We start from the raw sequence: 27,418 nt of genomic DNA on the forward strand, positions 1-27,418 counted from the left end.
CCTTGTACGAGGTTCTGCTAGGGAATAATGCAAATACTTCCCCTTGGCATGGCCTTGCACCCTATTCAGATGAAACTAGGTAAACTTCCTGCCTTTGGAGGCAGACTTCTGAATGTTCTCAGTTCCTGCTAGCAAAGCTTGACTGGTAAAAATTAGAAAAAATAATCTCATTCTGAAAACTGACATCAAATGTCTATGGGGAAGAAGTCGGTGCTGACAGTTCCATGGAAATATTTACTTGGTTCAACCACTTGCAAACACCTGTCCACAATTAGACTCTTCTTCTCTGGCTGTTTTTCATTGTTGATTGGAAAGCACAAGGAAAAGCCTGGAAGGCAAATGCTGCCCCCATTTAAAAGTAGGAGACTGGGCCAAGTGTGGTGGTTCACGCTTGTAATCCCAGCACTTTGGAAGGCCAAGATGGGAGGATCACCTGAGGTCAGGAGTTTGAGACCTCACATTTACAGCCTGACTCTCTTTTTTTTTTGAGACAGTCTCACTCTGTCGCCCAGGCTGGAGTGCAGTGGCACAATCTCGGCTCACTGCAAGCTCCGCCTCCCAGGTTCATGCCATTCTCCTGCCTCAGCCTCCCCAGTAGCTGGGACTACAGAAGCCCGCCACCACGCCCGGCTAATTTTTTGTATTTTTAGTAGAGACGGGGTTTCACCGTGTTAGCCAGGATGGTCTCGATCTCCTGACCTCGTGATCTGCCCGCCTTGGCCTCCCAAAGTGCTGGGATTACAGGAATGAGCCACCAAGCTCGGCCTCAGCCTGACTCTTGAGTTAGGAAGGAGCTGATTTGGAAAAGGAGGAGAGAACCAGGTGTCCTTGGCTGCACCAACACTCCGAAAAGACAAAGGAAGGAAGGGGTGCATGTTTGCTCTCTATACAACCAGTAATGAACCATTACAGAGCTCAGTGTGGCTCTGACCAGCTGTGCTGGCCAACATGGTGAAACCCTGTCTTTACTAAAAATACAAAAATTGGCCAGGCATGGTGGTACACGCCTGTAGTCCCAACTACTTGGGAGGCTGACACAGGAGAATCGCTTGAACCCGGGAGGCAGAGGTTGCAGTGAGCAGAGATTGTACCACTGCACTCCAGCCTGGGTGACAGAGCAAGATTCTGTCTCACCAAAAAAAAAAAAGTGGGAGACTGGTAAGTACCAGAAAGGGGCTGCTACAAACAGCTCACTGCCAAGACTGAGCAGGTAACTTTACTGGCTTTTAAACACAAAACTGACTAAAATTACCATTGCTAGAGGAGAAAGGACTTGCTGGGCCCCAAATAAGGGCGGTAAGTTCCCTGGGGCCGTTTCTTAATGATCAAAGTCATCCCTGTCTTCACGAGCAAGAACAACGTGGTCCATCGCAACACTCTCAGGCCCAAGGGCTCCTACCACACAACAAGCACAGCACACTCCGGGAGCTGCTCAGGTTGCCCTGATGTTTAGCCAGAGCCTCCAGAGGAGAATGAGCCCAGCAAGGAAGAGCAACACAGTGAACATAAGCCTGGCTGGTCAGAGCCACACTGAGCTCTGTAATGGTTCATTACTGGTTGTATAGAGAGCAAACATGCACCCCTTCCTTCCTTTGTCTTTTCAGAGTGTTGGTGCAGCCAAGGACACCTGGTTCTCTCCTTCTATTCCAAGTCAGCTCCTTCCTAACTCAAGAGTCAGGCTGTACCTATGAGGTCAGAAGGAAGCATCTTAGTACCTCCCTGCTCTTACAAGGCTCCTCTTTCAAATGAAATCTCTTCTGTGCCTAATTTGGTATCTTAGACGACATGAAGGTTTTCATTCATGTTATTGACATTTATTGAGCACCTATTACTATTACACTGGCCACGTAGGAAAGGCAAGGATGAAGAGAATGAAACTCTTGCCCTCAAGAAGCTATTAGCCTAGTACAGAGGATAACAATTATGCAAATAACTATTAATAAAAGACAAATTTTTTTTTTTTTGAGACAAGCTCTCACTCTGTCACCCAGGCTGGAGTACAGTGGTGTCATCTCGGCTCACCGCAGCCTTGACCTCCCAGGCTCAGGTGATCCTCCCACCTCAGCCTCCCGGGTAGCTGGCTGGGACTACAGGCACGCACCACTACACCTGGCTAATGACAAAGTGTTAACGATTAGAAAAAATACAAAAATTGAGTTCAAGGTGGTTTGCTGAGGGGTACTGCTTACTTTGGTCTAATGAGGGCAATGGTAGGAAGAAGAGGGACAGCTTCACGACAAAAGCTCAATTTTCGGCCAAATCATGTAGATTCCAATATACAGAAGAGAGAAAGTAAGAGCATGCTAGATCTGTGCATGAGCATGAGATACAGCTAAGCAACTGATTTGAGGAAAAACTTTCCCACCTTAATGCTTAGCTTGGCTGTACTCAAGGTTTCAGGGGCACAGGAAACTAAGAAACATGTTAATGATGAAAGCCCAATTTAGATGGGCAGATCTAATTTGGCTCTGAGTTGCTAAGCTGCATTAAGCTGTTTATCCACATTATGCAAATGTAATTAACTCTCATCAGAATTACAGCACATCCCACAAAGGAGAAAAAGTGATATTTAAACTAAGTCAGGTACAAACAATAATACTTCCAGAAATAAAGGGGGAAAGTACATAGAGATTCTGTACTTTTTAAATAATGGGAGAATTCTTTCAGTTAAAAAAAAATTTGTAGTTACCTGCCATGGCTCCAGCTGCAAGAAGATTTAAACCTCCCACGTGTCCATTTTCATCAGCCAGAAGTAGTTTGCAATGAGCATAAACAGGAAAATAGATTGCAGAGAAGGGAATGTCTCGGAGGAAACACGCTTTGGCACCCTGTCACACAGTGAGGAAATAGTGCAAAACAGTGTGAAACTGAGTGTGAATGCCCAAATGGGATCCATGTGACATTTGTCAGTGACAAGCTTGAGGTGTCCCTCAGTGACAAGCCTGAGGTGTCCCTTAAACAGCATTAGAACTGATGTGCAAGGGAAATGGGGGAGGCGGGAGATAAGTGGGGAATAGGGAAATCTGCATATCTCAAAGCTTGTGAAAGCATGGTGAATCCTGCAGTCCTAGAGTTAATAACTGGGTAATGATAGTATTCTGAAAACTAAGAACTTTCTGGCATTTCTTATATAGATTCAGAGTTTTTAAAATTAATTAATCTCTTACTATGGTAAAAACACACAAGATCTACCCTCTTAAGTTTTTACATCAGCTGAGAGTCCCCGCAGTGCCAGGTAAAAAGCTATAGGCAGTGGTGAAGGAAAAGTAACTACTCTAGAGCAGGGGGAAAAGAAACCCAAATCTTCTCTCCTCATTCCCCATGTCCTAAATAGCAGACAAAATATTTTAGCGGCAGGTTTCCACAGGAGTAGAAAATCATTACCCAGGGGCAGCTTGTCCCAATGACTGAGGTCTCAAAGAACACCTCCCTCAGCTTTGTCAGAAGCCCACACCATTCCACTACCTAGCTAGGCAAACACTCCACCTTGGCGCTTGTTTTTTTAATGACTCTGTTTTATTCTTTTTAATTTTTTTTTTTTTCTGAGACAGGGTCTCACTATGTTGCCCAGGCTGGAGCATAGTGGCAGGATCACAGCTTGCTGTAGCCTTGACCGTCTGAGCTCAAGTGATCCTCCCACCTCAGCCTCCTGAGTAGCTGGGATGATAGGTGTGCACCACTGTGCCGGCTAATTTTTTCTTTCTTTTTTTTTTTTAAGGTAGACACAAGGTCTTGCTATTTTGCCCTGGCTGGTCTTGAACTCCTGGGCTCAAGCAATCCCCCTGCCTTGGCCTCCCAAAGTGCTGAGAGTACAAGTGTGAGCCAGTGCTCCCAGCCCTGGCTTTTTTAAAAAAAGACAAACTCAAACATTGAAAAAAAAAAAATCCAAGGACTCGCTAAAGGATAATACAGAGAGAAGCAATATTAATAAATTCATCTCTCAAAGGGAATTCAAAAAGGATGGAAATTGGGAGTGGGGAGGAGGAAGCAAAAATGTGTACGAAACTCTCTTGAGACAGGCATCATTGTTTGCTGGTCTCCAGAGAACCCTGTAGCTGTGTGATTCCAATCTAGAGAATTTCTAATTTCTAATTTGCAGTTACCGAAACAAATTTACACATTTCTGCAGTGATGGATCTATATCAGATGCTGTGGAAACACACTTGGCTATGGTGGCTAAATTTACGTATTCCCCTTATACCAGGCAAAGGAATGGAAAGAAATATTCTTCCTTGTTTAAGAAAAATAATAGCTTCTGCTCCATTACATCTGATCTGTAATGATGGGAGTAAGTATACCCGCAGGGAAGGAATCTTTTGACTGGCATTTTGTTAAAGTACAGTACACTCTGTTGTTGGTTTGTTTTTTTTTTTTTTAATGGAATTCATTATTGACAAATCCTACCACTTAACTTCTTAAAGACCTGAATCCTACCAAACTCTACTACTGTTTTACTGTGGTCAAATTATTAAGACAAAAGCTCCCACTGGGAAGATAACAATAGAGATAATCAGACCGAAAATAAACATAAGACTATTTTGAAGCCCTAAACCAACCCAAAGAGAGCACCAGGGAAAGTTTTCCCAAGCCCCCCAGCAAATGAAAGGCTGTGAGCCTGAGGCCAGCAGGTCTGCGGTGCTGGCCTCCTTGCTGGCAGTTTCATAAAAGCCTGATGACAACAGGAGAGGCTGCATGTGTATCCCACTGCCTCTCATACAAGTGTCCTGATTCTTTTCTTTTTGTTTGATTTTCTGCTCCACAGACTACCCTGCTGGACAAGATTGCTTTTCAACTTGGAGGGAAGAAGTCTGGTTTCCACATTCTTTCATATTTTATTGAGTACATTATAACCTAAACCTACCCACCTTATACAGACCAAAAATTCCCAAGTCCCGGAGCACATTCAGGGCGCTGACTCTGGGTCCCGTGGTGATCTCTCCAGCTACTTGCAGACGAATCTTCACTATCTCCAATGGGTTGGTAAAAATGACCTGAGAGCCTCCAGCCTGTAGGCAAGGGAGAAGAGACAGGCAGATTCCACATCAGAGCCCGACTGGCAGCGTAAAAAAGGAAAATCCAGCAAAGCCTCCACATCTTGCTATCTTGAAAAGAAGGAGGTGAAACTTCCTTCCTCAGGGGGGAATGACAGTTTGACACTTAGGCCAACCCTGGAGAGGTTCAGAGGGATGGTCCCAAACTCTGTCTCAGATCAATCTACCTCTGGGTTTGTTTCTAGCTGAAATGTCAAGATTGTTTCTCAGACCAGTCTTTCCAGGATCACCCCAGCCATATTCAAAATAACAAAATAAACCCATTTGGAAAAAAAAGCGGAGCCAGATGTGGCAGCAAGGTACTCAATGAAAGAAAAAGAGATAGTAAAAGACTGTCATATTTTACAAGCCAGAGCTAAAATTCAGAGCTACAATTATTTTTTTCCTCTTTGTGGTAAGCGTTCTTGGCAGCAGACCCACTTGCTTCTGCTTCCTTGGATTGTAGAGCAATTAAAACTACTTTGGTGCCTTAAGTCAGAAGGGGAAAAGTCTCCTCCAGTTCCAATTCTAAAATGTATTATCCTAAGCAAAACTCTGATACAGGTACATGGCTACACCCACACAAAAGGGAAGAATTTAGAAAGATAAATTTCAGTATCATTTCAAGACAAAACCAGAAAAACTCTTCAAGGCAAAGCTGAGAAATGGAACATCTAGTTACCATGAGTACAACACCCTCAAGATCAAAGCCACATTCTATATTCCTGTGGTGAGTGACAGAGATTTGAATTTGGATAATGAGAGTATATTTGCATCTGAAATCTGTTAACTAGTAGAGAAAAAAAAAAAACGTTTAACAAAACTTCTACCAACTTCTTTTTTTTGGTTTCTGTAAGAAAGAAAAAAATGTGTGTGACTATGGATATATAAAAATAAATAAAATATATATCTCCTTTCATGAAATGAAAAATCCCATTTGTACATCTTCAACTGTAGCTGTTTATATTATGTAATCATAACCATACTCATATAATATTCATAATGATATTCATATCATTATAATCATTGTATATAATCACATGTGAAATATGAAATCTGGGGCACTGTAATTCCACAGGTATAGAACACCTAAAAATTCACATGCAGCTTTCAATGGCACTTCAGTGCTCAACCTTTGCCCACATTCCTGCTCACTTATCTAAAACCCAAAGCCCTCCCAGACCCGCTTCCAAGGGGCAGGAACATGGCTCAGCCCATTTTCCTAATTGCCTTGGGACTATAAATCCCCCAACTACCCCTATTCCAATCCTGACTCCTTAACTCCTTTCAATATTCAAAATTGCCAGCACTGATACTAAATTCCTTCCCTCTTCATGGACAGCTTATTGTCCTGGATTCCCCAGGGCCTTAATCCCCTCTTTGTCCTTCGAGCAGGGAGGTGCAGCAATTTGCTATCTCTCTCTCATGGTTTCCTCTAACTCCTCAACTCGACACAATCCAGACCACTGGCACACAGGTCCCCCAACGATGTACTGACCCAATTTTACATGTTGATTTGCCTGCCTTTCTCTCTCTTTGAATCTGTTGTACTGCAGGCAGAAGGAAGCACTTTAATGTTTCAATCTAAGCAAACAATACTTTCAAAAGGATTGCTGCATGAAAAATTATGTTAAAATGATAATCCAAGTAATTGCTCCTGTAGCTAGTATTAAAGACCAAATCAATTGAAAAAGTTTACTACTTCCCTGAAATCTCTTGTTTAAATAATGGTTGCAAAGACTATCTTAAATAATGGTTGCATATCTGCTTTATGTTTTAACTAAAGCAGATTTAAAAATGAATAGAACCACAAATTTTTATTCTAATTCCCCCAAATTTGCCACTACCAGACAGTGTCAGTCCCTGGGTGCCAAGTGTTAAATGTGGACATTATGTTTAAATAAATACTAAGGTCTTTCATGTTTGTAATCATTAGTAAATTATAACATCCTGCTGGGCAGGAGTACTCCAATCCGTGTCCCCCACCCCCACCCCACAGCTGCCTCCTCCTCTTCCTTCTCTCTTTTAGAAATAATTGATTGAGATTTATACTCCTTTAACAATGCTTCAAATTTTTTGAAGTATACAAGTAATAGGCTTTCTACTGAAACTTTACAAAAATGGTACAATAAAAAGAAATAACTGACTACATTTTGTTTGTGTTTGTTTGTTTGAGACAGGGCCTCACTCTGTCACCCAGGCTGGAGTGCAGTGGCAGGAACAGCTCACTGCAACCTCAACCTCCCCAGGTTCAGGTGATCCTCCCACCTCAGCTTCCCGAGTAGCTGGGACTACAAGCGTGCACCACCACGCCCAGCTAATTTTTGTATTTTTTGTAGAGATGGGGGTCTTACCATGTTGCCCAGGCTGATCTCGAACTGCTAGGCTCAAGCGATCCACTCGCCTTGGCCTTCCAAAATGCTAAGATTACAGGCGTGAGCCACTGCACCCAGCTGGGACTACATTTTAAAAATACATACACCTTAATTGTTGTATGCTTTGAAGATTAGTTACCTAGCACACATACCAAATCCCAACAACGCACAGGACATAACCACAAAACTCAATTGATGTGCATTTATAAACACATATAATCTAGCAAGTAAGAGTGCAAATAATCAATGACACTATAGCAAGGCACACATCTGTAAGTTTGTTTCATGCCTATGTTTGAAGGAGGAAAACTTCTGACAATTAATGATTTGTATATGTTTTAAAAATTAACATACAAGCCAAGTGCAATGACACATGCCTGTAGTCCCAGCTGCTCACAAGACTGAGGCAGGAGGATTACTTGAGCCCAGGAGTTCAAGGCCAGCCTGGGCAATGGAGCAAGACCCCTATCTCTTAAAATTTTTTTTTTTTTAGTAATTAGTATACATTTTTAAAACCTCATGATAGGCCTAGGAACATAAGGCAAATACTTTCCAGAAACGCTGAATAATTTTAGCAAAGATAAAGACTGCAAAAACCGCAGTTACTTTTGTACCAACGTAATAATTTGTCTAAAACTCTGGATGTTTATAATGCTTAAAGGGAAACACACATGGCAAATATGCACTGTTCTTTTTCGGATTCTGAGGTTGACCACTCTCTCTATCCTACATATTAAACTGGGGATAGGGAAGGGGGAGTAAAATCTGAGATTAGTTCAATTATACTGGTAATAAATCAAGCAACTCAGAATGAGGGACTATGATGTTATCAAACTCTTGAACTGGGTGTTTCCTCTCTGCGAAACAAATACAGAGAAATACCATATTTCTTCTAAGACTCTATTGATTATAAATGATATCATTAATAACAGCTTTCCAAAGGGGAAAAGCACTGCTTGCAGTAAATATAATCTTTAATATAGAGAATTTCATAAATACAGTAACTTTTCAATAAAAAATAGTACCTGTATTTCTACAAATATGCTAATGTTTGCTATTTTTAATAGCAGCAAAATTGAACAGGAAGAAATTCAAATTCCCAATAAAACAGCTAAGTAGATACAATTCTATGCTATTAATTGGGCAATATGATTTGATAATAAAATCACGCCAAATGACAAAAACAGAACATAAAATATTAGGCACACATTTGATCATAAATATGTCAAAATTTACCTAAGTTTCTCAAAACCCAAGTGGCTTAAAGATTAAAACATTGATTGCCTCCTGGAAAGAGAAACTGAATAGCTGGGAGAAATAATTTTCATAGCATACTCTATTGTACCTTTTAAATTTCAAAACATATGAATGTATTAACTACGCAACAACAACAAGAAACAGACCTGGTCTTAGAAACAATGGCTTCTTTATAGACTAAGTCTTCTCTCGCATATTCTTCTTCATGGTAAATTTGGTAATTTGGCAAATATATTTTTTAAACTGGTTGGCGTTAGTTACTGTGGACCCAAGGTTTTTTAAAAAGCTTATTATATATGAACATCAAAAAACCTAATCAAATATAGCTAGTGACCTGAAATAATCGACACTAAGATATATAAAATTTTAAATTAAATCACAATGATACACAGCTATATAAATGTAAATGGACATTGCTAAATTTGGCATCTTGCTGCTTCTGTTACTAATGCTTACATTAGATAACATACCACTCTATATCATACCTTTGCTGAATTTTTTTCACTCATGAAATCACCAAAATTAGCTTCTAATTCTCTAATTGCTTAAATTTCCCGCCTATTTTTTAAAAGAGATACAAACATTAATACTAAAACAGACTTAGATGCTTTCTATTTTTCAGTATTCTGTTGTCATTTCTTTGTTCTAGAACTGAGTTTAAAAGATACATAAAAGAGAACAAATCTCATTTTGAATGAGGGTTACCCATATATAACAGAAATGGAAAGAATAAAAAACTTCCATTTAATCTTATATCATATGAATTTTTTAATGAGAAAATCAACTAAAGCTGACAGCAAAAGTTAGCGGGGAAAAGGATGTAATTTTGAGATGTCACCATGCCTCCACAGTGCCAAAGGCCGAGGGGCTGTATACAGGATTAGGCCTATTCAACCTTCTGCCCTCTCAATCCTACCCCTGGGGCAAGGTTCACAAAGAGGTTGGAGGCTGGGCCCTGCTTGTGCCAAGTCCTTTGTTTATTTCCTTCTTTGATCTGTTGTCTCCTATAGATTGAAATGATTTCCCTCCAACCACAAAATATCCAATCTAAGCAACTCATTATAAAGTCTTCCCTTATCGAGACTGATGAAAATCTAACTTCAATTTATTTAAGGTCACATCAACTCCAGATGAACACAGTATGTGCGTATAAAATAACCAGATAAACAGTAAAAGTCACAGAACTAGCTGTCACTAGGACTGACTCAAGAGGAACAGGAACAGACAGTGACTCAGCCTTGCACACCACCAACCGTTCATATTTTTGTAAAGCAATAGGAAATGCTATGGTTCTTTCTAAAATAGGATAGTGATAGTTTAAAAGAAATAAATGCAATGTGCTCATTGCTGAGTGATGATATATGCGAGGGTGTTACAAATTAACACTACATATACTCCTAACTAGGGTAAGGGAAGTGCTATGATCCGAATATTGGTGTTTCCCCACAATGCATATGTTGGAACTAATATCCAACATTATAGTATTAAGAAGTAGGGCCTTTTGGGAGGTGATTAAGTCATGATGGTTCTGCCCTAGTGAATGGGATTAGTGCCCTTATAAATGAGGTTGAAGGGAGCTGCCTTGTCTCTCCTACCATGCAAGCACACAGCAGCAAGGTACATGCAAGCACACAGCAGCAAGGTACATGCAAGCACACAGCAGCAAGGTGCCATCTTGGAAGCAGAGAGCAAGCCCTCCCTCACCAGACACTGAATCTGCTGGTACCTTGATCTTGAACTTCCAGCCTCCAGAATTGTGAGCAATAAATTTCTGTTGTTTATAAATTACTCCATCGAAGGTATTTTTTAATAGCAGCCAAAATGAACTAAGACAGCAAGAATGAAAATCCCTGTGTACCTATCATAAGCCACTTTTGACATAAATATATAAGGATTTTCAACTTGTATGCATATCTATATGTGTTCACATAAGTATGTAGGCATAAAGTTGGACTACACTAATTCCTGGGGATGAGAGGTGGAAGAGCTGTTTCCAAACTACTCTTTAGAGATATACAAGCTTGGCTTGCTGAGGAAGACATAGAATTCTTCATCATAAGGAGCTGGCTAGTTACAGATCTTGGCCCCCAGGATTAGTAAATGCTCCGCCTAACATGTGGGCTTTTTGCTTTACCGATATGAAGGGAGGGTGTGTGTATGTGGTGTGTGTAGACACATGCTTAAGCTGAGAAAAAGCATGGGAGAGTTGAAAGATTCTAGGTTTGGAAGACTACTGACCTAGATCGTCATAGATTTTGCATTCGGCATAACCATTCCATTCCCACAACCATGCTCTCTGCCTCACCGAGGTCTTGTGCACTACTAACTCATTTGAGAGCACTATGCAGACTGAAAGCAAGACACAAAGGGAAAGAACGTGTTCTCCAGAAAGTGTGTTCGCATAGGGTTGTGAAAATTCACCTGCAACATTAGCACTTTGCTGAGTAATAAGTTTTGAGTTTCATGACTTCCATCCACTCAGGAGTATATACTCTCTGAAAGAGGTAATGCAGTCAGCTAGGTAAGTTTATCACTAATCTCTGATTCGAGTTTAACAATTAAAAAAGAACAGGTACTTACCAAAGAGACCATTAGAAAGTACCTAAAGGTTAGTCCATTTAGATTTTTTAATATTCTGCTTTGTTAATTTGAAAAGATATTTAAATTTATTCTCCCTTAAGTTTCTGGATCTATCCAAAAAACTACATAATTACTTTTTCTTTAAAAACTACTATAAACATCATTAATAAAAGTAATAAACAAGTCACAAACTGGCAAAAAAATATCCACAACACATCTGTTTGACAAAGGGCTGTATCCATGATGTATAAACAACTTTTACAATTAGTAAAAAATATGAAACCTAATAAAATGTACGCAAAAGACTTGAACAGATACTTCACACACACACACACACACACACACATATACGAATAGCCAATAAACACATGAAAAGATAATCAACATCTTTAGGAATCAGAAGAATGCAAATTTAAACCACAATAAGATACTATTTCACATACCTACAATGATTACTATCAAAAACACTACAGATATCAAACATTAGTGAAGATGTGGAACAACTGGAATACTTGTACACTGCTTAGGAGACTATAAAATGATCCATCCACTTCTAAGAACTAACTGGCAGTTTATTTTAAATTGAATATACATCGACTCTATTCTATTCTTAGATACCCAAGAAAAATGAAAATATTGGTTGACAAAAAGATTTGTACAAGAATGTTTACAGCAACCTTATTTGTAACAGACAAAAACCCAAACATCCATCAAGAGAAAAATGGATAAACAAATTGTGGTAAATTCGTACGATGAAATACTACTCAGCAAAATTTAAAACAAACACAAACCTGATACCCACACAAGGATGACTCTCTGAAAACATGTTAAACAAAAGAAGCCAGCCATGAAAGAATGCATCTCGTGCACTCCATTTACATGAAATCCAAGAACAACAAAACTTCAGACAGAAATCAGAAGTGTGGTTGCATGGGGTAAGGGAGAAGGGACTGAATGGAAAGACGCATGAACGACTTTTCTGGGGTGAAATGTTCATTATCTTAGGTGGTGATTACATGGGTGTATACAACTGTCAAAACTCATTGAGCTGAATATCTAAAATCTGTTCCTTTTAAAAATGTTAATTATACCTAAAAAACCAAATATGTAAATATGTCATATTCATACACTTATTAAAGGAAGGAAGGAAAGAGGCAAGAAAGTCACTATAAAGTTGAATAGTGTCATCTAGATTTATTTTGACACAATCAATGATTTGATTCCCCCAAAAGGACATCATAGAATAAAAGGACTTGGTCTAAAAAAATCAGAATACTTGGGTTCACATGAAACCTCCAGCATATATTAGCTGTGTAAATTGGGGTAAGAGAGTTAGCCTTTTTGGACTTCTGTTTCTCATCTACCTATTTTATAGAGGGTGACAATAATGCATAATAATGTACTTTGAAAATTCTAGGTTGACATTAAGGTACTATTTTTGCCCACAATAGATATCATAATCAAACATTCAATTATATTTGTGTCTTCGAATAAACATACATTTGTACATATAAATATTATATATAAACACATATATACAGGTGGTCCCCAACTTAACAATGATACAACTTATGGTTTTTTGACTTTACAATGGTGCAAAAGCAATATGCATTCAGTAGAAACAATACTTCAAGTACTCATACAGCCTGTTTTTCACTTTCAGTACAGTATTCAATAAATTACATGAGATATCCAATACTGTATTATAAAACAGGCTTTGTGTTTTATGATTTTGCCCAATTATAGGCTAACATAAGTGTTCTGAGCATGTTTTAGGTAGGATAGGCTAAGCTATGACATTCAGAAGGTTAGGTGTATTAAGTGCACTGTTGACCTAAAAATTTCCAACTCATGATAGGTTTATTACAATGTAACCTCATTGGAAGTCGAGGAATATCTGGATCTGTGTGTGTGTGTGTGTGTGTGTGTGTGTGTGTGTGTGTGTGTACAGAAAGACAGAAATTTTCTAATAGAAAAATAAACATATGGTCTGATAAGAATGGTTTACCTATGAGAATAACAGGAAAAATTATTTAAAACCTACTGTTACATATTTAATACTCATACAACACTCAACATTCATAAGAGATATTTACTGAGCAACTGTATACACACACATACAATCTTACCCCATCTCCACCTAAAAAAGGGTCAAGCAATTTTAAAAAATTATTATTATTTGTAGAGATGGGGGGTCCCACTATGTTGCACAAGCTGGCCTTGAACTCCTAGGCTCAAGCCATCTTCCCACCTCAGCCTTCCAAAGTGTGGAGGTTACAGTCATGAGCCACCACACCTAGCCAAGGTCAGGCAATTTAACCTAGAGTTCAATTTATAGATACTACAAACAAATAAACAAAAAACATGTTGGGATAGCACATCCAAGTTATCATAAATTCTGAATGAGTAAGTTTGTTTGAGAAGATTTTGATATAGATACAAAACACAAGTTTGGTTAATGTTCACAATGAGATTTAAAAATCTGAAAATGGGCCAGGCACTGTGGCTCACACCTGTAATCCCAGCACTTTGGGAGGCTGAAGTGGGTGGATCACGAGGTCAGAAGATCGAGACCATCCTGGCTAACACGGTGAAACCCCGTCTCTACTAAAAATACAAAAAATTAGCCAGGCCTGGTGGCGGGTGCCTGTAGTCCCAACTACTCGGGAGGCTGAGGCAGGAGAATGGCGTGAACCCGGGAAGCGGAGCTTGCAGTGAGCCAAGATCACGCTACTGCACTCCAGCCTGGGCGACAGTGCGAGACTCTGTCTCGAAAAAATAAAAATAAAAATAAAAATCTGAAAATGCACAATCTGTTTATACTACTATTCCCAAAGGTTATATACTACTTCTAAAATAAGACATTCCACTGTGACTCCCTCTTTCCTGTAGTAAGTGAGAGTTGCTTGCATTTCCAATCAGGAAGTCAGAGTCAACAAAACTTCCATCTGGTTTTAAAAAGTGTGTGTGTGTGTGTGTGTACACATGTGCACACATATGTCTATGCATAAGAGCATGTACACATGTATATGAAAACATTAGAAGGAAATACACCAAAACATTAGCAATCAAAACTAAAACAAAACTGACATTTAGTAATATCTCTCTCTGTTCAAGGCAAAAAAAAAAAACCTAAAAAACTTAGGCTTAAAAATCGGAAAAGACCTAGATGTAAAAGCTAAAACTATAAAACTCTGAAAAGAAAAAAGGAGGCATACATATAAAGTCAATTTCTATATACCAGAAAAAAAAGGCATACATCTTTCATGATCTTGGATTAATGACTTCTTAGATATAACACCAAAAGCACAAACAACAAAAGAAAAAATAGATTAAACGAACTTCATTAAAGCCCAATTCTTCAAAAGACATCATCAAGAAAATAAAAAATATCTGAAAAGGGACTCATATCTAGAATATACAAAGAACTCTGTAACCAAAAAACAATCCAATTTAAAAATAGGCAAAAATTCTGAATAGACATTTTTTCAAAGAAGATATACAAGTGGTCAATATGCACACAAAAAGATGCTCAACATTGTCAGTCATTAGGCCACAATAAGGTATCACTTTTCACTCAGTAAGATGGCTATAGTAAAAAGACAATAAGAAGTGTTATCAAAGATGTGGAAAGTAGCTGTGCATGATGGCACATGCCTGTAGTCCCAGCTACTCAGGAGGATGGGGCAGGAAGATCACTTGAGGCCAGGAGTTCGAGGCTGTAGCATGTGATGTTCACACCTGTGAACAGTCACTGCACTCTCAGCTTGGGCAACATAGTGAGACGCTACCATTATTTAAAAAAATACACACACACACACACACACACGCGCGCACACACATACTAGCAAAGATGTAGAGAAATCAGAAGCTTCACACTACTAGTAGGGATGCAAAAGGATGTAGCCACTTTGAAAAACAGTCTGGCAGTCCTGAAAATGCTAATTACAGTTGTCATATGACACACCAATTCCACTCATACGTATATACCCAAGAGAAATGAAAACATGTCCATGCAAAACCTTATATACCAATATTCATAGCAGCATTATTCATAAGTCAAAAGGTAGAAACAACTCAAATGTTTATCAACTAATGAATGAACAAACTGTAGTATATCCATATATTCAGCAATAAAAATGAATTAAGTACTGATACATGCTACAACACAGATGAACCTTGAAAACACGCTAAGTGAAAAAAGTTAGGCACAATGTCATGCTTACAAAAGGCCACATATCATGATTCCTTATTTATTTATTTATTTATTTTGAGACAGAGTCTCTCTCTGTTGCCCAGGCTGGAGTGCAGTGGGCACAATCTCTGCTCATTGCAACCTCCGCCTCCCAGGCTCAAGTGATTCTCCTGCCTCAGCCTCCCAAGTAGCCAGGATTAAAAGCACCTGCCACCACGCCTGGCTAATTTTTGCATTTTTTATAAAGATGGGGTTTCACACCATGTTGGCCAGGCTGGTCTCAAACTCCTGACCTCAAGTGATCCACACACCTCAGCCTCCCAAAGTGCTGGAATTATAAGCATGAGCCACCACGCCCAGCCTCCATTTATATAAAATATTCAGAATTGGTGAATTTGTAAAAACAGAAAGTATATTAATAGTTGCCTAGAGGCCAAGTGCAGTGGCTCGTATCTGTAACTCTAGTACTTTGGGAGGAGGAGGCAGAAGGATTGCTTGAGGCCAGGAGCTCAAGGCCAGCCTGGCCAAGTAAGACCCTGTCTCTATGAAAAACTTAAAAATTAGCTGAGGGTGGTGGCACACACCTGCAGTCCTAGCTACTCATGAAGCTGAGGTGGGAGGATTGCCTGAGCCGGCAGTTCAAGGTTGCTGTGAGCCTTGATCGCACCACTGCACTCCTGCCTGGGCAATACAGTTGCCTAGATCTTACGGATGGGATGGGAAGATTGAGAAGTGATAGCTAAAAGGTACTGCATTTCTTTCTGTGTTGATAAAAATGTTCTAAAATTGATTGTGGTGATGGTTTCACAACAAAACACTGAATTATACACATTAAATGGGGGAGTTGTATGGTACGTTAAGTATATCTCAATAAAGCTGTTATTTTTTCTGTTTTTTTGTTTTGTTTTGTTTTTTGTTTTTTTTTTTTGAGACAGAGTCTCACTCTGTTGCCCAAGCTGGAGTGCAGTGGCACGATCACAGCTCACTGCAACCTCCACCTCCTGGGTTCAAGCGATTCTCCTACCTCAGCCTCCCAAGTAGCTGGGACTGTAGGAACGCGCCACTTCACCTGGCTAATTTTTTTGTATTTTCAGTAGAGACGGGGTTTCACTATGTTGGCCAGGCTGGTCTCGAACTCCTGACCTCAGGTGATCCACTTGCTTCGGCCTCCCAAAGTACTGGGATTACAGGCGTGAGCCACCGCCCCCGGCCTAAAGGTGGTATTTTTAAAATTTGCATGAAAGATATCAGGTATTCAATGAGTAAGTGAATATATGAAAGAACAAATGAAAACCTATATCAAGTGTGAAAGAATATGGATTTGGAGATAGAAGTGGTTTGAACCACAATTTTGATATTTACTAAGTCAAAATTTGGATTTCACTAAGGTTTTAGTTTTTTCAACTCTAGTTGGGAACAATAATGAGATAATCCCTATAAAATGTTCAGCCCAGTAAGAAAGGTATCTATTCCTCATTAGCTGATTCAAGCTACATCAAAAGCAATAATCATCATCAACAATAGTAGTAACGTTTTAGTTAAGTTGGGTGCTAGAAGCATGGATGCTCATTTTATTATTCTGTAATTATATTGTTTGTATTCTTTTGCATGTATCAAAAATCACAGGCCTTGGCCAGCCTGGTGACTCACACCTGTAATCCCAAAACTAGGAGGCCAAGGCAGGTGGGTTGCTTGAGCCCAGGAATTCGAGACCAGCCTGGGCAACATGATGAAACCCCATCTCTACAAAAAATACAAAAATTAGCAGAGGATGGTGGCATGCACCTGTAGTCCCAGCTACTGGGGAGGCTGAGAGATGGGAGGAGCCCTTGAGCCCAGGAGTTGTCAAGGCTGCAGTGAGCTGAGATCGCACCACGCCACTCCAGCCTGGGCAACAGACTGAGATCCTGTCTCAAAAAAGAAGAAAAACAAACAAACAAAAAAACAAAAATCACATGCCTTTAAAAACAGATCATAAAGACCGGGTGTGGTGGCTCACGCCCGTAATCCCAGCACTTTGGGAGGCCGAGGCCGGTGGATCACCTGAGGTCGGGAGTTTGAGACCAGCCTAACATGGAGAAACCCCAGCTCTACTAAAAATACAAAATTAGCCGGGTGCAGTGGCACATGCCTGTAATCTCAGCTACTAGGGAGGCTGAGGCAGGAGAATCGCATTAACCTGGGAGGTGGAGGCTGCGGTGGGCCGAGATCGTGCCATTGCATTCCAGCCTGGATAACAAGAGCAAAACTCCATCTCAAAACAAAAACGAAAACAAAAACAAACCAGATAATAAAACAAAACATACAACAACAACAAAATATATAATGCCCAAGGACTAGAGATTTTCACTTCTAGGTCACTTCATGATCTAGTCAACACACACCATTTTTCCTAAAAGGGAATATTGTCATTTCCATGGCAATAAAATTTCCCTCTCATCTATAGGGAACTCAAGGCCTAGGTCCTAGCTAATCCTTCCTCTGGGAAAAAAAGCCTAGAACTCAATTTGAGCCATTTCTTCCTAATTAACCTGCAATAGGTTAATGTATTAGGTGCATCTTTAAAATTGGGTAATTTTTGGAAGAACAGCAGCATTCTTCTCACTAGTGGCACTGACAGCACTCAGCCAAAAGCCATAAGGACACCGTACATCGTATCACCACCACTACTCAGGATGATGAAGACTCAGGGTCAGGCTCACAGACAGCCACTCTTCACAGTGTTAATCTGGTGGCTGTTTGCCAGGTATCATTTAGGAAATGGAGTATCCTATGTCCCATACAGCCTGATATTCTATAAAGAGAGACTCATTCTTTTTAAGACTTTATTCTCTGTTGAAATTTATAGACTTTGGGGAGAAACAGTGAATTATGTTTTAACAATCATTTATAGCATAGCATAACTGAATTTGTCAGTAGAAACTCAATAATTGCACTTTTTTCTTCTTCCCTGAAAGAAGAGATTTAGAGCAAGGGGGAAGCAGAAAACGTTTGTGGTGAAGAACTGCAGACAACCTTATCATTCTGCCTAGAGTCCAACCTGACTATTTTTCATGCTGTCAATTTCCCACTAGACAATCCATCAAAGCCTCCAGAAATGAGTCATGATTAAGGAAGAGATTTAGAGTGTCAGCACAACCCTCAAGGCAACCCAGACTTCAATAGAAATTCCTAAAGTTCAAACCTATAAACAGGGTCGGTAGCTAGGAAGAACAAAGGAACTAAACATCTTATTTTGGTTTAACCACTTAGGTCACATGTCAGACATGGAAACAGGTCAGCTTCATGACCAAAAACCTGGATATTGCAAACGGAAACAAATAATTAGCTACATGGAACAGAAAGAGCATGACTTATATTTCTGGCAAAGGTATGCATGTGCTGTGATAAAAATGAGTTAGAAAGCTTCTTAACCAAACAGAAACTTAAAATGACCAAGAAAAAGAATATTTATGATTGGCAAAGGTTCGCTCTCTAGATAAGAACCAATTACAGAATCTAATTGGAATAAAGGAAGAAGAGAAACTTCATTTTTGGTGATCCACCTAAGCAAAAGTTTTATTCTATGTCCACTGTTAACTCTTCATTAAAAAAGAAATGTAGCCAAAGAGATTTCCTTCCTGAGAATGTGCTGGGGCATGCATACAGGCACACACACACCCACACAGCAGTCCACCTCTTCCAAAGCAACTCTGCAGAGGACTCAGGTATGTGCCACACTGACACATATCAAAGAGAATCTGGAGCAACCTCTCTCTCTCTCTGACCCCCGAGGCAGTGTCTCTGAATTAAATGTTGCCAAGGTCACTGACCTCATCACTTCAGGTTTCACAAGCAACTGAGGAAGTTTTAGCCAAGACTGTCAGCCAATTCAACTGGAAGTTATTAATGTTTCCAAGAACAAAATGGACTAAACAAGTCTGAAACGAACCATGTGTTATCAAATATGAAACAAATACCACAAATGAAATTAGTTGAGCTGCAAATAGATTTAAGAATTGGTCATGCTTACACTTTAAAGACAGAAACCTTTGTGCGCTAAGTAAATATCTGAGTCTCTTGGTTCAGAATTTCTGTCAATAGCTGAAATGTAGTTACCGTTATTATTGTTTGCCAATAATCATGTCATGCTTACACTTTAAAGACAGAAACCTTTGTGCGCTAAGTAAATATCTGAGTCTCTTGGTTCAGAATTTCTGTCAATAGCTGAAATGTAGTTACCGTTATTATTGTTTGCCATACCCTCTGGCCTCTAAAGAAGAAAAATTATTATTAAACAATGGCTTACTCAGTCCTATACCTAAGATATAAGGGCCCAATTAATCAGCCATCTCACACTTGTTTTAAAGTTCCAGTTAACATATATGAATGGTAACTCTATCCACTACTATATTTTCTGTACTCTATTTCTTAAAAGGCATAGGAATTAGAACTTTTAAAAAAGTCTGGAAGGTAATGCTTTAGGAGCATCAAAGAGATAGAGCTGATGAAAATGCCACCTCTTTTTTTGTTATTATACTTTAAGTTTTAGGGTACATGTGCACAATGTGCAGGTTTGATACATAGGTATACATGTGCCATGTTGGTTTGCTGCACCCATCAACTCATCATTTACATTAGGTATTTCTCCTACTGCTATCTCTCCCCCAACCCCCAACCCCCAACCCCATGACAGGCCCCAGTGTGTGATGCTCCCTGCCCTGTGTCCAGGTGTTCTCATTGTTCAATTCCCACCTATGAGTGAGAACATGTGGTGTTTGGTTTTCTGTCCTTGTGACAGTTTGCTGAGAATGATGGTTTGCAGCTTCATCCATGTCCCTGCAAAGGACAGGAACTCATCCTTTTTTATGGCTGCATATTATTCCATGGTGTATATGTGCCAAATTTTCTTAATCCAGTCTGTCACTGATGGGCATTTGGGTTGGTTCCAAGTCTTTGCTATTGTGAATAGTGCCACAATAAACATATGTGTGCATGTGTCTTTATAGTAGAATGATTTATAATCCTTTGGGTATATACTCAGTAATGGGATTGCTGGGTCAAATGGTATTTCTAGTTCTAGATCCTTGAGGAATTGCCACACTGTCTTCCACAATGGTTGAACTAATTCACACTCCCACCAACAGTGTAAAATGGTTCCTATTTCTCCACATCCTCTCCAGCATCTGTTGTTTCCTGACTTTTTAATGATCACCATTCTAACTGGCGGAAAATGCTACCTCTTTTCTACACTCAAAACCCGTTAGCTTTTACAATAAAATTTAAAACTTATTCCATATGATTATTGAGAAAACCTGCTTAGAATCCCTTGAGTTCAAGAGAAATGCCACTAAGATATCTATTATATCTGTGCAAAAAGGTCAACGGAATGTATTTGTCACAAGAAGCGCCTAACAGTAATACTTACACAGCCTCCAGCAAGAACTTCTGCTGGAAGTGGAACAGAGCCATCTCTTCTGGTAAATTTGTCCCGAACAAAATCATTAACCTAATTAGAAAGACAACATCAGTTAACCAAAATTCCCAACCATTTCTCTTCTGGCATACTGTTGCTTTTCCAAGTCAGCAAAATATTTGTCTTATGATAAAATTTAAAATTATCAAATGCTTACATGTAAAATTAAAGTTGTACAAATTCTGCGACAGTGTGCCAGTGTCAGCAGCATCAATTTTAGTTTTGTTTTTGAGACAGGGTCTCACTCTGTTGCTCAGGCTGGAGTGCAGTGGCATGATCATAGCTCACTACAGCCTCAAATTCCTGGACTCAAGCAATCCTCCCACATCAGCCTCCTGGCATAAATCACCACACTTGGCTAATTTTTAATTTTGTTGTTGTTGTTGTTGTTTTGGTAGAGCTGAGTTCTTACTATGCTTATGCTGGTTTAGAACTGGTCTCAAGTGATCCTCCCACCACCCAAAATGCTGAGATTATAGGCATGAGCTACCACGCCTAGCCTTGATTTTAGCTTTTTGGCTTAATGGTAATCTAAACAAATGACATAAATTCAGTTAGAGATAAACTTACAGTCAGTTTAATGGCCTTTTCTGGAGCAACCCCTATAAGTTGTGGTATCAGACCTAGGTAAAGGGACAGAATCATCAGCAATATAGCTGTACCAGACATGAATACACAAGCCCAGCAACAAAGAGTTTCCCCCATATTATTTACCCATCAAACATTGCAGAGTTTTCATTAAAATGGGAAAAAGATTATCCTTAAAACTCTGTATACATATGTAATAATTATTTACAAATGCAGTATAATGTCACGTTTTCTTGAGGCTATAAATCCTCTTCTTAAGCATGCTTACTTTAAAGCCTAGTTATCCAACACTTCCCAAAAAGTCCATGAAGAAGAAACGGAGCCATGCGTCTTCTCTATTCTGGGAACACTGCCAATAACAATGTAACCAAATTCCCTCCCTTATTACAACCAACAACATATAAACATACACAGATACTGTACACTTGGAAAAGCTCTGAAAAGCATGCTGTTAAGCATACCCAGATTTTGCTACCTACATAATGGCATACAGTGGCTTCGTTATTATAGAATACTAACTCCCATAATCTTCTCTTCAGAGAAACACAGCATTCAATATTCATTTATTTAAAAGGAAGCCAAAACTGCAAAGAAAAATGCAGTTTTAAGTATTGTTTAACGAGTATCTCCTATAAGCAAAAACATATGCCTGTTGTATTCTTATTGACTAATATATGTCAAGCTTAAGACATTTTAAAAGAATCCCCTCAAAACAAAGGAAATCATAATCCTTAGAAAGTTAAATTCCCCAGGCTGGTTGTAAACTGGAAAAGAAAAAAATAAACAATTCAACATCTGTTGGGCTCAGCTTTCTAAAGCACACAGCTTATCCAAATTGTTAGCATACTTTTTTGCATACATTTTTTAAAGATGCTAACAATAAACATTTTATATCCTTTAAATCATCCAGCCAAAGGGGAGTTATATATGTGTTTGCCTGCTTGCTGACTGCTGATCTTAAGCCTGCTTTGAGGATACTGCTGAGTTCCATAAGTTGAGAGCCACAAGTAATCATACATATAGGCTACTGTCAGTCAGGCTGAATTATCAATGATACACACAAAGCCTCACACACCTTTCATGCGTAGCAGACTGATTTAAAAGAACAAATCAGCAGATGGCAGTATTAACTTTCTAACCCTCGTGATTATCAGGCTCTATTACTTTTAATCTAACTCCCATACAACCATGTCAGCATGCATATTTGTTTTACAACTCGCCTCAATAAGGCTCATGGAATTTAATAAAGTACTGATTTGTGTCATTTTATCATTGTTGCCTGCGAAGAAATTTAGCTAATCTGTCAACAATTTTGTCAATCATCTGACAGAATAATGGACCAGTTGCAAGCAATATATGACAATCTCAATAATCATAGTGCTCACATACAGGACTCCTACAATCTTCTCCCTAATACAAAAGTCTCTCATTTAAAGAACTGCTTTTATGAGCTTACATCCTGAATAAAACCAACAATCCCCTCCCCTACTTGCTATATTGCATCCATTTAATAAACATGACATCTCTCTCAAATGAAATCTTCTGTAAGCATCTATCCATTGAGAAGGCTAAACTATGCAGTAAATATCTAGGTTCCTTTTAATAGGGGACATTTTCTTTGCAATTTAAAAGTATACCAAAGAGGAGAAAGGTCATTATTCAACAAAGAAATATTGGAGATATCAAGGAAAAAAACAACCTTAATGCCACTCAACCTTGATTCCCCATTAAATAAAATCTGGATATGCAGGGTTTAATCAGTTAAAACAAGCATTCACATGGAAAGGTCTGCATTCTGGATATTGTACGCCTTTCCACAGGGTACATGCTGTACAGGTGGAATTCAAAGAGACTACAGTTCTGAATATTTGAGGAAAACTCATCACATTCATTCTCAAGAGCAGGGTACTTGAGCCTAGTTTGATTTCGGAATAACTCTCTCCTATTATTCTATATATAATGCTAAAAATGAACATCCTTGTGACCCTCTACTTCAATTATGAGTTTATCGGAGTTATATTTTTTGCTTGAATACCTGTATATAATGCTAACCAGCGGTGTTTTTTTCCTCCTGTCCATGAGCATAAAGCTCTGTTCGGGCCCAGTCTTTCTTAGGAAGATTTCTAAGCCAAATAGTTCAACAGAGCTCAGAATAGGCTAGGGATTAATGAGCTTGTATGTGCAAACAAACAAGTACAGTAAATTACATAAATGGCATGGACTTGAGCATGTAGAGAGTATTTTCATAGAATCCCAAGTGGCGCCCAAAGAGATTAAAAAATTAATCTCCCTCCCAAAGGAAACCCTATATTCTAATGTGAAAACACATACATGAAAGTCATTCTCTCTCCAAAGAGACAAGTTCCTACAAAGACAACGGGGGGTGGGGAAAATTCTGCATGGGGCGCAGTGCTGCCTCTGATGCCAACTGCACTGTGCTCAGTCTAGAGTGGCTGCTAACATTCCCTGCGAAAGAAAATCTCTCTGTTTTGACTGTACACCTCTGAGCTAAGTGGGGGAAAGAAGCAAGAATTAGACTTGGAACCAAAGGGTTTTCCTTTTTTTTTTTTTTTTTAAACCTTCAGATGGCTCATTGGAAAAAATTTATAAATGGTCCCTGAAAGAGACAAAAACATTTGATATTTATTTCAGTTGAAATAAATATATGGAGGGTAAACTCATCTTTGAGTGGTAACCTGGATTCTTTTTCACAGGAAAGAGATGTATTTCTCCTCTTTAATTCTTTGAGAAAAGCAGCTCTATATTTCTTAACTATCATCCTTGTATTCCACCTGCAGATATGTGCCTTGGTTTGTAGGAGCATGGTGACATAGACCCATGTTGGGACAAACACATAATTTGGACACCAAGAAATATAAACCACAAGAAGAAGAAATGAAGACCTTATTTGCAGATTAATATTGCTAATCACCAGAAAGAATGCAAAAAGGGAAATGAGCAAAGAGAAAATAAAAAGAGAGAAACAGACCTAGTCTGGCTAGGCATACTACATATTGGCTTCCATAATTAGTGAGTTAAAATCTGCTGCTGGTGAGATCAAATCACTAACTTCAGCAGCTGGGATTTGCTTACTCACCCCTGTAGAGTCCAAAGAAGCCCTCATAACGCAAGACTTTCTTAAAACAGTCAAAGCTGTTTTTGTACATTAGCTCCCCAACAACAGAGCCAGAGCCACGCTGGTTTTGCATTCGGGTCTTCACCAGATCTATAGGATACACTGCAGTGGCTCCCACAGCTACAAACAGAACAATTTTTAGGCTTAAAAAAGAACACAATTAAATGGAGAGTCCATAAGGATGACAAATCTTATCTTAAAGGATGAGAAAATAAAACACAACATGTATTCTCACAAAAGAGAGTTTATTATTTTTCTTTCCCTCACAAACACCTTAGGGATAGCAGGCTATAGCAAGCACTGAAATCCATAAATACAGCTGCTTCAGAAAACAACTGTCAAGAATGCTCTTTGATATCGTAGGTTCATAAACTACAGAGTGGATTATCGAGTCACTTCCCAAATTAGATAATCAACACTCAGTTTTCTATAGTAACAACATTAAACTATTATGTATAACATTTATTTATATTTTCCATTAAATGCTTAAATATTATGCCAGTTACTTCTTAAAATGACTATATCCGTACACTAGGTGGCTACGATTTTAAAATTTAGTTTAATAAAGCATCTTGGTAAATTAATCATAGTTACAACCATAATATTAGAAACACACTTCAACATTATCCTATCCCTATGTATAGAATTTGGTTTAAAAGAAAATATGGCTATGCTTTAGAATTTCTCAGGGAATGAAAATTTATTTACATGAACGAGAGTATTACACATTTTGACTGCTGAAAGCCAAAACCTGGTTTGCAACTTCTAAAACTGAGAGTGAAAAGAAAAAAAAAAGTCTTTTGAGTTCAGGCTTATCTTAAAAAATCGTAAGCATTTTAATCACACCTGCTAGCTTCTTCTCAACAAAGCAACTTCAGATTGTACACATTTTCTAAGTAGAGTATTTAAGCAAAAACAGTCTCTCAAATTTTGGCTGTGAACAGGGAGGGAAGGGAGGTTCATTTTTGCAAATAAACATCAAGTCCAGATATTGTTAAGCAAGCGATAAGGGAAAGGAAAACATACAAGCAGAAAAGCAAAACTGGGTCACTTTGAGAGGCTCTTTTATTTCACGAGGTTCTGGGATTCATATCCCAAATCTCAATTTCTTTCTTTTTTTTTTTAGTTTTATTTTAGGTGTGGGGTATATATGAAGGTTTGTCACATAGGTAAACACGTGTCACGGGCGTTTGTTGTACATATTTCATCGCCCAGGTATTAATCCCAGCATCCAACAGTCATTTTTTCTGCTCCCCTCCTTCCTGCCACCCTCCCCCACAAGTAGACCCCAGTGTCTGTTGTTTCCTTCTTTGTGTTCATAATAAGCTCCTATTTAGTTCCCACTTATAAATGAGAACATGTGGTATTTGGTTTTCTGTTCCTGCGTTAGTTTGCTAAGGATAATAGCGAATCTCAATTTCTTAACCTGTCCCATAAACACAGTCTCATTTTCCATTTTTTCATACTGGCCTTAGCCAGTATAATTAAGGTGAGTGCAGCACTGCATCCCAGACTTTCACATCATTACAGAGGTTCTGTCCTGAAGACAGACTGGAGCCAGATGGTCATAGCCATTGCTACGACAAGTCTCCTGATCATAGGTAAAAATAAAGAACACTTCAGAAAGCCCTGAAGTCGTGACCCATGGGAACAATGAACTGCACCTTTGCTGATCTGCCTCAGTCTGGTGAGATAATATTACATTAACACAAGCCTCAAACAGCACACAGACATGTCACTCACCTCCAGCAACTGAGCCCAGAGTGAATCTGTAAGCAGACTCGGCAATCTGGAGCCAGATAGGCCTGCCTAACCCAGGAGACTGCTGCAGAGAAGAAAACGGGTAAAAAAAAATCTTGAAAGCGCACACAGCAAGTGAAAAAGCTACAATTTGACTATTTTAAGACAAGAAAAAACAAAACCTAAAAGTGATATTGTTAATGCAGTAATATCTTTTCTAAAAGAAGAAAATAGGATATTCATGCAGCCAAAAATGAAAGCAATGTATTTAAAAATAGATAACTCTATTGTCAGCATTTAAAAACCATGTTAGGCCAAATACACAGTAGCTTCCCACTTACCCCAATTTTTACAAGCCTATTAATGCCTCATTTATCTGCTACTGTTGGGGGAATACACTATCAGTTTACAGAAGTGAATCTTTCAGGTAAACAAGCATTTCAGTTATAAAATTTTTTTCCTTCTTTAACTAACTTAAAATTTAAAAAGCTTTCTAAAGTGTATAAAAATTAACTTGATTCTTAAATCAGAGAATATTGATCATAATCTACCATCTCTAATGACTACTGCCACAGTTCTAACATAAAAATCTATAATAATAAAAAAGAGAAAAATTCCACCAGATGTTATTTCACAGGTATCCCACAGCATAAAGAAAGGATCTAAGATAACTTGTCTATACTAGTGTGTCAGTCTTGTTCTTTAATATTTTCACTATGAAAAGACCTTCTATACTATGTAAACAGTATGAAATGACAGAATAAACTAAATAAAAAGTTCACATATTTGCCAACGTCTTAATTATATATACATAAACTTAATATACATTATAAAATTACACATAAGATGTATTTTAAAGTATATACAAAAATAGAAATTATAGAATGAGATAAATATTTCTAAGTAATTTTATATTTCACTTATTAATTAATGCAAAAATATTCCTTTTTTTTTTTTTTTTTTTTGGAGACAGGGTTTCACTCTGATGCCTAGGCTGGAATGCAGTGGCACAAACATGGCTCACCGCAGCCTCAAATTCCCAGGTTCAGGCCATCCCAACGA

General features: G+C 38.7%; 1 protein-coding gene across 3 annotated transcripts in view, besides 1 other annotated feature; it reads right to left on the reverse strand.

Annotated features, from left to right (window-relative positions):
- SLC25A12 (solute carrier family 25 member 12) overlaps nt 1-27,418 on the reverse strand; it is a 110,840-nt gene that overhangs the window by 5,357 nt on the left and 78,065 nt on the right. For all 3 annotated transcript variants that reach the window (NR_047549.2, NM_003705.5, XM_047446142.1), the window contains 6 exons: nt 26,360-26,441; nt 24,578-24,736; nt 21,463-21,515; nt 20,845-20,925; nt 4,866-5,006; nt 2,690-2,828 (listed from right to left, as the gene is read on the reverse strand). Coding sequence is in view for 2 of the 3 variants with exons in the window: in NM_003705.5 (NP_003696.2) it covers nt 2,690-2,828; nt 4,866-5,006; nt 20,845-20,925; nt 21,463-21,515; nt 24,578-24,736; nt 26,360-26,441 (655 nt within the window). In the remaining variant the exon portion in view is untranslated. The remainder of the gene's footprint in view (nt 1-2,689; nt 2,829-4,865; nt 5,007-20,844; nt 20,926-21,462; nt 21,516-24,577; nt 24,737-26,359; nt 26,442-27,418) is intronic.
- Nucleotides 9,398-9,928: an enhancer, noted in NCBI's record as "NANOG hESC enhancer chr2:172654669-172655199 (GRCh37/hg19 assembly coordinates)". NCBI's record gives its function as "activates a minimal SCP1, AML or CMV promoter by ChIP-STARR-seq in primed H9 embryonic stem cells {active_cell/tissue: H9 hESC(primed)}" and the evidence as "EXISTENCE:reporter gene assay evidence [ECO:0000049][PMID:30033119]".

The sequence above is a fragment of the Homo sapiens genome, chromosome 2, assembly GCF_000001405.40.
Source record: "Homo sapiens chromosome 2, GRCh38.p14 Primary Assembly".
Lineage (NCBI taxonomy): Eukaryota > Metazoa > Chordata > Mammalia > Primates > Hominidae > Homo > Homo sapiens.